The sequence below is a fragment of the Homo sapiens genome, chromosome 2, assembly GCF_000001405.40.
Source record: "Homo sapiens chromosome 2, GRCh38.p14 Primary Assembly".
NCBI classification, from domain to species: Eukaryota; Metazoa; Chordata; class Mammalia; order Primates; family Hominidae; genus Homo; species Homo sapiens.
Window position 1 is genome coordinate 209,401,200 of NC_000002.12, and position 13,501 is coordinate 209,414,700.

A 13,501-nucleotide genomic window follows, 5' to 3' on the forward strand; every position below is an offset into this window, starting at 1 on the left:
GAGAAGTTAGGAAGAGAGTCCAAATGATATACAATATGTTAGAAAAATTGTATTTGTATTTATCATTTATTTTGCTTTCAAGTATCAGCAATATTGCTTTTGTACAAAGAAAATGAGTAGGCAGCTGCTGCATGTGGTCCAGCTCAGTTGCTAGAAAGCATCTTTTGCATTTGGGTTGCCCAGTCTGAGCATGCTCAGTTGTGATGACCATAACTCAGGATTGATTTAATGCAGCATGAAAGTTCTGTTGTTTTGTTGATGGAAAAATACAAAATGTCTGAATTATTTCCATTGGCCTTGGGGAAAACTGGCTTCTGTGTCTGGAGCACTTCAATCCTGTGCCTTTTCTAGCACAATTATGTTCAGATTTCTGCCTCCCTTTCTAATAGTTAGAGCAGCTCCTTTGTTTTCCAGCTGAGATACTTGATGCTGATGATCACCCTTATAGTTGGCTTCTAAATACCTGACAAGACATGGAGGGGAAACTGTTTCTCTTGTCAACTAGACATTATGCTCTTCTCTGCTTTATTTTATGCAGGCTTTAGAGCATTGTCACTTCACAAGTATAACTACTCTCATTTTACATTGACTAGTACATTACTTTACAAAGTTGGAGGTGCAGCCAAAAAACTCTTTGATCAGTGAGAAGGTATTATTCAGATAGAATAGGGAAAAGTGCTATTTTCCACAAGGGAAGATTTATTAATTCTCTATAGCAGTGTGTCATTTTTAAATGACTTCTTTTAGAGTGCTGAGTTGTTCATGGTGTTGAGGAGAACTACATAATAATGACTCATATTTGGAGAACGACTTGCTTACACATTGTAATTTAATTAATTTGGATACGGTAAATTGGCACACAGGATTCATCCCAACATCATTGTTCCATTACATACTGCAGAGGTTAGAAGACCAAAACATACACGTCTCATGCTTTTATATATGGAATTCTGGAAATTATATTCTCTATTCCTGCAATTTAGAAAGAAATAAGGCTGGTGACTTGGCTATTGCTGCTGACAAGTGCAGTTGAGGGGATGTCAGATTTTTCTGCATCTGTCACTAGTTTAGTGATTGTCAGGGCGGTAGTGGTCTGAGCAAAAGCAGTTTCCTGATCACTGATCTCATTTAGGACACTGTTGTTCTACTCAGTTACAATAGTAGCTTCATGATTTGCAGCTTTCTGGTTGTGATGGAGGAAGCTGCTTTCCTGACTGACCAACCTAGAAGTGTTTTCCTTGTTCTAATTTGAATACCAGGCCTGAGTCCCGTAAGTCACCTGTTCAGAAAATGTGTTAGTATTTGTTTTATAGTATTAAATCTGTATGCTTCAATTATTTCTAGTGGTTTTTATTTACTGCAAGGTAACTCAGAGTAAAGTATTCTTATTTTCTCTGGATTTGACTGAAAATTAGTGATAAATAAAGAATGTTAAAGACTACAGCTTCTGGTAGTTGTAGAATAGTTTATTGTACACTAATTCTCCCTTCAAGAAGAATGAGAACAGCTGCACAAAATACAATATATATCTGCGTGAAGGTAGCTCCAGTTGAATATTGATGATATAAAACAACAATAAGAAGATCTTTTGTAGTTTAAAATAACAGGTAAATAAAATATATGAACATTTCCCATGAATCAGGAGGAAATATAAATAGAATTAAAGTGTCCTAAGATCCTTTTACTTCCATGAAATGATAAAACGATACATGCAGGTCATAATCACTAGCATAACCATCAAAAGACCAATAAAAGAATATGCAGCTAACAAAGAGGTGACATGAAATAACAAAAATGGTTGATTAATCCAAGTAAAGGCAAGAAAGAAAAGAAAAAGGAAATGAAAGCAGTTTGGACATACATAAAATAAGTAATAAAATGGTACATTTATACCCCACAATAATTTTAATTACAGTAAATGGAAACAGACAAAACAGACCAAAATTTTCAGACCTGGTAAGGAACTAAACTTAACTCAATGTTGTATACAAATTACTCATGGCTTAAAAGAATGTAAAAAGAATGAAAGGAAAAAGAAGGATAGGCCATGTGAGCACTAGCCAAAAGAACGTTGGTGGAGATGTATACTAACATGAGACAAAGTAGGCTTTGAGACATAACCATAAAAAAGAGAAATATCTTATAAAATAGTCAATTCATCAAGAATTGATCATCATTTTGAATGTGTTTAGTATAGCCTCAAATAAGTAAAGCAAAAGAGTGATGGAACTAGAAAATGTATTAGGTAATCACAGTGTGAAATCTCAGCATTCAACCCTCTGAAACTAACAGAACAAGATAACAAAAAAATTAGTAAGGAAATAGAAGATGGAAAAACACAAAATTAAAAATTGATCTAGTAGATATATGAAAGACAGACCTCAACAACTAAAGATGACATGTTATTTTTAAGTACAAATGAGATATTTGCAAAATTAACCATATGCTGGACCCTAAGAGTATAGTGTCTGGCAATAGTAGAGAATCTTCTTCTAAAGTTATCAATCAATAACAAACTAATAGCTTAAAAATATTCAAATGCTCAGAAATGAAACAATACTAAATAACCCATGAGTCAAAGAGAAAATCACAATAGAAAATAAATAATTGTAACTGAATAATAATTAAAATATGACATATTTATGAGATGTAGCTAACGCAGTGCTTGGAGAGAAAGTATTGTCTTAAGTGCATATATTACAAAAGAATCTCAACTTGCATATCAAGAAGCAAAAAAAAAATAGCATATGAAACTAAAAGGAAGTATTAAAAGTAAGAAAGATAAAAAATCAATATTTAAAGAACAATTATTTTCTGTTTTAACAAAGACAAAAGTTGTTTTCTCAAAATAACTTTCAAAATGATGGCAGCTTGGCAAAGCTGATGAAAACAAAATATAAAAGAGTACAAATTACCAATATTATGAATCAAAATAAAGTTTATAATAATAAATGTATTGTGGGAAATGTCATATCAATAAATTTGGAAATTTAGAAAAGAAGGTTAATCTGGAAAAACACAACATGTTATAAGCCACCCAGGTAGAAATAAAATCTAAATATATTTATTAAATAATTTGAATTCATAATAAAAAAACTGCAAACTAAATACCAGGCTTAGATGACATCACTAGCAAATTCTTCCAATCATTTATGAGAGAAAGAATATCAAATATATGCCAGTCATCCAACATAAGAAAGAAGAAAACTGTGGCCGGGTGCGGTGGCTCACGCCTGTAATCCCAGCACTTTGGGAGGCCGAGGTGGGCGGATCACGAGGTCAGGAGATCGAGACCATCCTGGCTAACTTGGTGAAACCCCATCTCTACTAAAAATACAAAAAAAAAAAAAAATTAGCTGGGCATGGTGGCGGACGCCTGTAGTCCCAGCTACTCAGGAGGCTGAGGCAGGAGAATGGTGTGAACCCGGGAGGCGGAGCTTGCAGTGAGCTGAGATCACGCCACTGCACTCCAGCCTGGGCAACACAGCGAGACTCCATCTCAAAAAAAAAAAAAGGAAAGAAGAAAATTTCTAGATTGATTTTATAGGGTCAATAAACTTGATGCCAATACTTGGTAAGAATACTGTAATTAAAAAATATAGACAGATCAATTTCTCTCATTCATAAGGAAAGATGTAGAACAAAGAACATGAACCATGAACCTAAATAAATTATTAGTGAACCAAGTTCTATATATAACAAAGGTGATACAACATAAGCCAGTTGATTTCACTGCAAGAATGCAAAATTGGTATAACATTCAAACGTCAGTAAATCTCCACCACATTAACAGAATTAAAATGAAAAATTATATCATCATCTCAATAGATGTTGCAGCAGGGCGAATAATATCCCCATCCCCCAGTGATGTCTACATCCAATCTCCAGGACCTGTCAATGTGTTACCTTATATAGCAAAATTACATTGCAAATGTGGTCAAGGTTATGGAGCTTGAGATGGGGAGACAATCCCAGATTACCCAGATGGGTTCATTCTTGTATCATGAATTCCTAAAGGTAAAGAATCTTTTTCAGCTGTGGTCAGAGAGATGCAATGTGAGAAAAATTGCCCACCTTTACTGGTTTTAAAGATTGATAAAGGGGACTGTAGGCTGAGAAGTGCAGTAGTCTTTAGAAGCTAGAAGTCACCCTCAGCTTATAGCCAGCAAGAAAATGGAGACCTCAGTCATACAACTACAAGGAACTGAATCCTGCCAACAACTGAAATAAGCAAGGAAAATGGTTCTGCCTTAGAACCTTCCATTATGAAGGCAGCTCTGAGGATACCTTGATTTTAACCCAGTAAGACCTGTGCCAGACTTATGACCTATAAATCTGTAAAGTAATAAATTTGTATTGTTTTAAGTGACTAAGTTTGTGGCAATTTTTATGTCAGAAATGAGAAACTATTACAAATATGTAAAAGGTATTTGATAAATTTTAATATCTATGCATAATTTTTAAAATTGCTTGCAAAATAATAATATGAAAGATAATCTTTAATCTGATATAAGATGTCTACTGAAAAAAAAACTGTATAAGCATCCCACTTAATGGTAAAATACTGAAAGCATTCTCCCTGGGATGAGAAATGAGACAAAGGAGTGCAATATTATGACTTATATCCAATAGCATTCTGGAGGTTCTAGTCAGTAACAAAAGCCAAGCAAGAGAAGTAAAATTTATAAAGGACTGGAGAGAAAGAATAAGATAGATAAAATTATTGTGAATGCAACATTTTAAAAGAATCTCAGGAAAACTACTAAAATTAAAAATTGAAGTTAGAAATTTTACTGGATATAAAGTCAGTATAAAATTAATTGTATTTTCACATATCAGCAAGAAAGGTTAGAAAATAACATTTTTAAAGTGATACCTTTTTGAAAGAAACAAAAATTTCAATACCTATGAATTATCCCTTGTAAGATACGTAATACATCTACACATAAAACTATAAATATTTATTCAGGTGTATTGAAAAAGACCTAAATGAAGTCGTTGGATTTTCCCAAAATTACCTATACAGTCAATTTTATATACTAATTTCAAATTTTATGTAAATATGTATAGGTCCAAAGGTAAAAATACAAGCTTAAAAAAGAACCAGCCAGGTGTGGTGGCTCACGCCTGTAATCCCAGCACTTTGGGAGGTCAAGGCGGGTGGATCACCTGAGGTCGGGAGTTCAAGACCAGCCTGGCCAACATGGTGAAACACCGTCTCTACTAAAAAAAAAAAAATACAAAATTAGCCAGGCGTGGTGGCCCATGCCTGTAATCCCAGCTACTCGGGAGGCTGAGGTAGGAGAATTGCTTAAACCCAGGAGGTGGAGGTTGCGGTGAGCCGAGATCGCGCCATTACACTCCAGCCTGGGCAAGAAGAGTGAAACTCCATCTCAGGAAAAAAAAGAACCAACTGAGCATGTACTGTACTGATTATCAAAATGTATAGTACAGCTAGAGTAATTAGGATAGTATGCTATTGTTACAAGAATGGAAAAATAAGCCAGAATAACAAGATGGGCATAAGAGAAATTGAAACATACACACTGGACCCCTGAATTATGATAAAAATGACACTTCAATCATTGGAAAAGGGACAGTGTTTTCAATAAATGATACTGGGTAAATTAGAAATCTATGATTTAAAAAAACTTGGCTCAACTTATATCATCAAACATTAATTTCAGGTATATGATGCATGTAAGTGTAAAACTTAATCAATAAAACTTCTGGAAAAATGCCTTCACAAGCTTGTGTAAATGGAAGCCAGGTTGAATAATATCATTCAGAGTATAGTCTCTGACCACAGTGAATGAGAAATCAATAAAAATAAGATCACAAGGCTAGTAAGCAACACACTATTTTAAATTTTTCACAGTTATCATTATAAGAGAAATTACATTTTAAACTTAAAGATAAGAAAAATAAAACATAAAATTTGTGGGATGCAACAAAGCAGTATTTAGAGAGAATTTTTATTTAATTGCTTGTATTGGAACTAAATGTCACGAGAGGATGGGAAGGCAAGTGGAGAGAGCATGAAAAGAAGTTGGTTAATGGATACAAAAATACAGTTAGATAAAAGGAATAACTTCTAGTGTTTGATAGTACTGTGGGGAAATTATAGTCAACAGCAATATATTAAATATTTCAAAATAGCTAGAAGAGAATTGTAATGCTCCCAACACGAAGAAAAAATACATGTTTGAGGTGATGGGTATCCCAATTGTGCTGATTTGATCAGTACATGTTGTATACATGTATCAAAGTATCATACATACTCCCAAAATATGTACAACTGTGATATATCAATTTTTTAAAATACAGTCTGGGCGTGGTGGCCCACACCTGTAATCCCAGCACTTTAGAAGGCTGAGGTGGGAGGATCGCTTGAGCCCCGAAATTTGAGACCAGCCTGGGAAACATGGCGAGACCCTGCCTCTACAAATAATTTTTAAAATTAGCTGAATGTGGTGGTATGCACACGTGGTCACAGCTACTTGGGAGGCTGAAGCAGGAGGACCACCTGAGCCCAGGAGGTCAATGCTGCAATGAGCCTTGATTGGGTCACTACACTCCAGCCTAAGTGACAGAATGAGACCCTGTCTCAAGAAAAACAACAACAACAACAACAAAAAAAAAAAAAAACAAGAAACGAATGTCTACCATCCAATAAAAAAGTACAAGCTGGGCCAAGAAGCAAGAAAATATGACTTATAACCAAGAAAAGTATTACTCAAAAGAAAAAATAAGTGGAAATGACATAGAAAATACAACCAGCAAAAAGATCTTTAAACAGCCAGTATGTGAATATTTAAGTATTTAATGAAGAGAGAAATTAGTCAAAAACAATGAAACTTCTTGACATATGCAAAATGAAAACTTAACTGTTGGAGACTAAATGCAGATTAAATCATAAGAAAAAATTGTGAATCTAATGACATAATAGACTTTTTCAAAACATAAATACAGAAAGGAAAAGATTGAAAAGATTATTGAATAGCATCTCAGTGACATATGAAACATTCAGTGACATACGATAAATGAATAAGCAGTATAATAGCCATGTATCTTAATATTTTATATACCATATAAACATTAATTAAATATTAAAGAAGTAATGGATAGAAATTTTTGAAGTTTACTGAAAATTACAAATGCAAAGAATCAAGATCATAAACCCCAAAGGAGGATAAATATCACAGAACACACAAACACATAAACTGCATACTAAGAAATATCATAATTAAATAACTGATAAAGAAAAATTATAAAAGCAGCCATTAAAAAAATTACACATTGCATTGAGGAAACAATAGTGACTGCAGTCTTCTCATCAGAAAATATGTAGGCCTGAAGACAATGGAAATATATCATTAAAGTGCTGAAAGAAAAAGGAAACTGTCATCTTAAAAGTTATTACCAATGAAATTGTAATTTAAAATAAAAGGCAAAGTAAAAATGTAGACAATAAATTTCTGAGAAAATTTGTTACCTGTAGACCTGAAATACAAGAATATTGGATTAGGTAACTACGTAGGTAAATATAAAGGACAGTACAAATGTATTTTTTTGTCTGTAACTCTTTGCTCTCCTTTCTAATTTGAAAAGAACTTCAAAAGCAGTAATTATAAATCATGTTGATGGGAATACAATCTATAAAGATGTAATCTGAACAGCACTAATAGAACAAACGAGGGAGTACAAAATGGTATTATACGGAAACAAAATTTTACTATACTGTTGAACTTAAAGTGGTATTAATATGAGCTATACTTCTATAAACTCAGATGTTGATTATAATACTATTGTACTGGCACCCAGTAAAAATTAAGGGACAAATATACTAAAAGAAATGACTATAAAAAATGTCACACAGGCCAAGGACAGTGGCACATGCCTGTAATCTCAACACTTTGGAAGGCTGAAGTGGAAGGAACACTTGAACCCAGGAGTTGAAGACCAGCCTGGACAACATAGAGAGACCCTCATTTCTAAAAAAAATAATAATAAATAACCAGGCATGGTGGTGGGCACCTGTAGTCCCAGCTGCTTGGGAGGCTAAGGAAGGATGATAACTTGAGCCCAGTGTTTGAGGATGCAGTGAGCCATGATTGCACCAACACACTCCAGCCTGGGCGACAGAGCAAGATTCTGTCTGAAAACAAACAAACTAAAAAGAAATAGTAAACTATAAAATATCTACTTAACAAAAAAGAAGTCAGTAACAGAACAATAGAGTAACAAAAAAACGTGATATATAGAAAAAAATAGCACCATGTAGATATAGACCCTACCTTACCAGTAATTATAATACATGTAAATGGATTAAACACTTCAAACAAAAGGCAGATATTGGCAAAATTGATGATAAAAATTGTTTGATAACGATGTACTGTGTACTAGAAAATTGCTACAACAGTACATATAGCTGTTTTCAATACCAAAAAATAGTAAGTATGTGAGATAGTGCATATATTAATCAGCTTGATTTAGCCATTCTACAATGTATATGTATATCAGAATATTATGTTATACACCAAAAATATATACATTTTACTTATCAATTTAAAATTTAAAAATTTTTAAATTTTCCAAGAGAGAAACTTTGTATTTCAAAATTAATAAAACTAGAAATATAAATATAAAATTAAAATCCTCAACAAACAATCCAAATCCAATAACAGATAACTAAGTTTTATTAATCATCAGGAATGCAAAGTTGGTTCAATATGAGGATCAATCAATTATAATAAACTAATTTAATAAAATAAGGACAGAAGCCATATAATCATCTCAATTGATGCAGAAAAGGCATTTTCTGCATCAAAATTCAACACCCTTTTATGATAAAAATGCTTAACAAACCAGGATAGAAGGAAGCTTCCTCAACTGATAAGGAATATTCTTGAAAAACCCACAGCTAACATCATTCTTACTGATGAATAACTGAAGTATTTACTTTTAAGATCAGGAACAAGAAAAGTATGTACGCTCTCACTGCTTCTATTCAACATTGTACTGAAAATTTGTAGTCAGGGCAATTAGGCAAGAAATAAAATAATAAAGACTTCCATATTAAATAGGAAGAAGTAAACTTATATCCAGTTGCTGACATGATTTTGAATGTAGAAAATACTAAGTATTTTTAAAAACCTATCGAAGCTTATAAATGAGTTCAGCCAGTTTGCAGAATACAAGATCAATCAAGTTGATAATTTCTATAAATTATCAAAAAACAATCCAGAAATAAAATTAAGAAAACTGATCCTTTTACTATAGCATCAAAAAGAATAAAATACTTAGGAATAAATTTAACAAAAGAAGCATAAAGAAGTATAAGATTTGTATACTGAAAACATGGAAAAAATTAATAAAAACCTAAATAAATGGAAAGACACCATGTGTTTATGGATTAGAAGATTTAATTGTTAAAATAGCAATGCCCCCAAACCGATCTATAGATTCAATGCAATCTTTATCAAAGTTGCAACTTCCTTTTTGTGTTATTGTCACAGAAATTGACTAGCTGATCCTAGAATTCATATGGAAATGCAAGGAACTTAAAGTGGCCAGAATAGCCTAGAAAAAGAACAAAGTTGGAGGACTCACACTTCCTAATTCTAAAAGTTGCTCCAAAATTACAGTAATTAAAACAGTGTGCTGCTCCTATAAAAATAGACACATAGCTCAATGGAATAGAAATGAGAGTCCAGAAATAAACCCTCACAGTTTTGGTCAACTGATTTTAAAGAGTATGCCATGACAAATCAATAGGGGAAAGAGTCGTCTTCAACAAATGTTGGTGGGACAACTGGTTATCCACATGCAAAAGATGAAGTTGGACTCGTATCTCATATCTTATAAAAAGTAACTCAAAACGGACCAAGCACCTAAATGTACAAACTATAAAACTCCTAGAAGAAAAAAGGTATACATCTTCATGACCTTAAATTAAGCAATATTATTTTAGAAATAACATCAAAAGTACAAGCAATCAAAGAAAAAAATGAATTAATTGGACTTTATAAAAATTGAAAACTTTTGTTATAACGGAGAGAATCAAGAAAGTGAAAAAGGGAATTCATAGAATCAGAGAAAATATTTGCAAATCATATGTCTGATAAAGGATTAGTATCCAAAATGTGTAAAGAACACTAACGATAAAACTATAGATAATCTAATTTTTTAAATAGGCAAAGGATAGACAATTTTTCACATAAAATATATAAGTGGCCAATAAGCACATGAAGACATGCTCAACATTATTAGTCATTATTAGTCATTAGGAATATACAAACCCAAATCACAATAATATACCACTTCCCACTTACTAGAATAGCTATGATCAAACAAGACAATAACAAGTGTTGATGAGAATGTGGAGAAATTGACACCTTCATGCATTGCTTATGGAAATGTAAAATGGTGTATCTGTTTTGGGAAAAGTTTTAGCAATTACTCAAATTGTTAAAAATATAATTAAAATATAACCCAGCAATATCATGCCTAGGTATACACACAAAAGAATTGAGAATGTCCATAAAACTACTTGTATAGTACTGTGCTTAGCAGCACAATTCACAATAGCCCAAAAGTGGAAACCACCCAAATGTGCATCAACTCTTTATCAACAGATAAACAGAAGTGTTATGGCCATGCAAAAGAACACGACTGAGTCATAAAAAAGGAATGAAGTACTTATGCTTGCTACAACATGAATGCGCCTTGAAAATATTATGCCAAGTAAAAGAAGTCAGTCATAAAGCGCTGCATGGTGTATGCTTCCATTGATATGACATGTCCAAAATAAGCCAATCCATAGAGACTGAGGAGAAGGAAGAATGGAAAGTGGACTGCTAATGGTTGTAGAGTTTCATTTTGTGGTGATAAAAATGTGGAAATTCGTGGCAATGGTTGTACCACTGTAAATATGCTAAACCTCACTGGATTGTACTCTTTATAAGAGTGAATTTTGTGATATCTGAATTATAACAAAATTTAAAAAGTAAAACATGAAAAAGATAAGCTATGTCAATCTTAACCAAAAGAAATCTGAAATTATTTTATTAATATTACACAAAGTAAACTTCAGAAAAGCAATATTACCTGGAAAGGAGGGATAGTAACCATTTTACAGGGAACAATTCAGCAAGAAGACAGAAAATCCTACTTGCATATATATATTATTTTGGAGGTTCAAAATGCATGATGGAAAATCTAATAGAATGGAAAAGAAAAATGACAAATCTACAATTTTGGTCGGATATTTCAACACTCTTGCCTCCACTTATAAATGGAATAAAGCACAGGGGTTGGGCTGGAATAAAAAGAAAATATGTAAGAATATTGATACAAACAATATTAAGCAAATTTATACAACTGGCAGTTTTAAACACTCAACAGCAGTAGGTACATATTGTTTCTTTACAGATTTATTGGGATATAATTTACACACCATAAAATTCACCTATTGTTAGTGTATAGTTTGACGCATTTTACTAGGTTTAGGTGATTGTGCCCCCATAACAATAATATGGTCTTAGAACACTAGGATGACCACAATAAGTTCTCTTATGAGGCTTATAGTGAATTGTTGCTCACACTCTTAGGCCTCAGGCAACCAGTGATATCCATTTTGTTTCAACAGTTTAGCCTCTTTAAATTTCATACGAATGAATTCATGTAGTAAGTAGTCTTTTGCATCTGATTTCTCTAACTTAGTAAAATCTCTTGGAATTTTATCCCACTTGTTGCATGTATCAGTATTCTGTCCCTTAAATTGTGTGCATTATTCTAGTGTAGAAATATATCACAAATTATTTATTCATTCACTACTTCATGGGCATTTTGATAAATTCCTATTTTCAGCTATTACGAATTGTGCTGCTATGAACATTGAGATGAACAACTTGATGTAGACATATGTTTTCATTTATTTTGGGTAGATGGCTGGGAGTAGAATACTTAGGTCATATGGCAAGTGCATGTTTAAATTTTTAAGAAGCTTACTAACTGCTTCCTAGAGTAGATCGCTATGTCTTGAGTATGGCCCCTTAAGTTCATGTGTTGGGAACTTAATCTCCAATGCAACAGTGCAGAGAGGTCGGACCTTTAAGAGGTCATTAGCTCATGAAGGTTTTGCCCTCATGAATGAATTAATGCTGTTATTGCAGGAGTGGGTTAATTATCAAGAGGGTGGGTTCCTGATGAAAAAAGAGTTCAGCACCTCACCCTCCACCCCAACCCCTATGTGTGATATTGCCCTTCTGCTTTCTGGTAGAGAATGATGTGTCAGGAAGGCCCTCACCAGATGCAAGCCTCTCCACTTGGGACTTCTCAGACTCCGGAACTGTAAGCAATAAATCTTTCTTCTTTATAAATTACCCAGTCTCAGAAATTCTGTTACAGTAGCACAAAACAGACTAAGATGTGGGTGTACAATCTTACACTCTTACCAGTGATGTATGAGAATTCCAGTTTTCTTCCCACCCATATCAGTACTTGATATTGTCTCTCTCTCTCTCTCTTTTTTTTTTTTTTTGTAGCCTTTCTATTGTGTATGTTGTGGTATGTCATTGTGGTTTGAATTTGCATTTTCCTAATGGTTACTGATATTAACACCTTTTTTGTTCTTAACAGCCTTTACTATATCTTCTGTGGTAAAGTGTCTATTCAAATATTTTGCCTTTTGCAAGGGTAGGATGTGATGTTTATCTCTTTATTATTAAGTTTGAGAGTTCTTTATAATTTCTGGATACAAGTCTTTTATAGGACATAATGATTTGGAAGTATTTACTCCCAGTTTTTGGCTTGCCAATTTTTTTCTGAACGGAATCTTTTCGAGAGCAAAAGCTTTTAATATTAAAGATATCTATTTTTTTCCATTTTTGATAATCCTTTAGGTGACATACCAAAGAAGTTTTTGCCTAATTTGAATCACAAATATTTTCTTCTATGTTTTTTCCTAGTTTTAAAACTTTATCTCTTATATTTGGGTATCTCACCCATTTTAAGTCAACTTTTGATATACATTTTTAGGATCACATAGAATATTAGTCAAGATAGACCCTATGGCCATAAAACAAGCCTCAATACATATAAGAGAATAAAAATCATATGAAATATGCTTTCTGCTACAATTGAATTAAATTTATAATTTAAATTTTAATTTAATTTAATAAATATATTTATAATTTATATTTAATTTATAATATAAATATATAATTATAATATAAATTTATAATTTAATTTAATTTATAATTTAAATTTAAATTATAGAATATATATTCTAAACCAATATATAATCTAAACAAATATATAAAATTTTATTTATTTATTATGGGAATTGGCTCATATGATCACAGAGGCCAAAAAATCCCATGGTCTGTCATCTGCAAGCTGGAGAACAAGGAAAGCAAGTGTTGTAATTTAGTCCCAGTCTGAAGGTCTGAAAACCAGGAAAGCTGATGGTGTAATTTCCAGTTGAGCACAAAGGCTT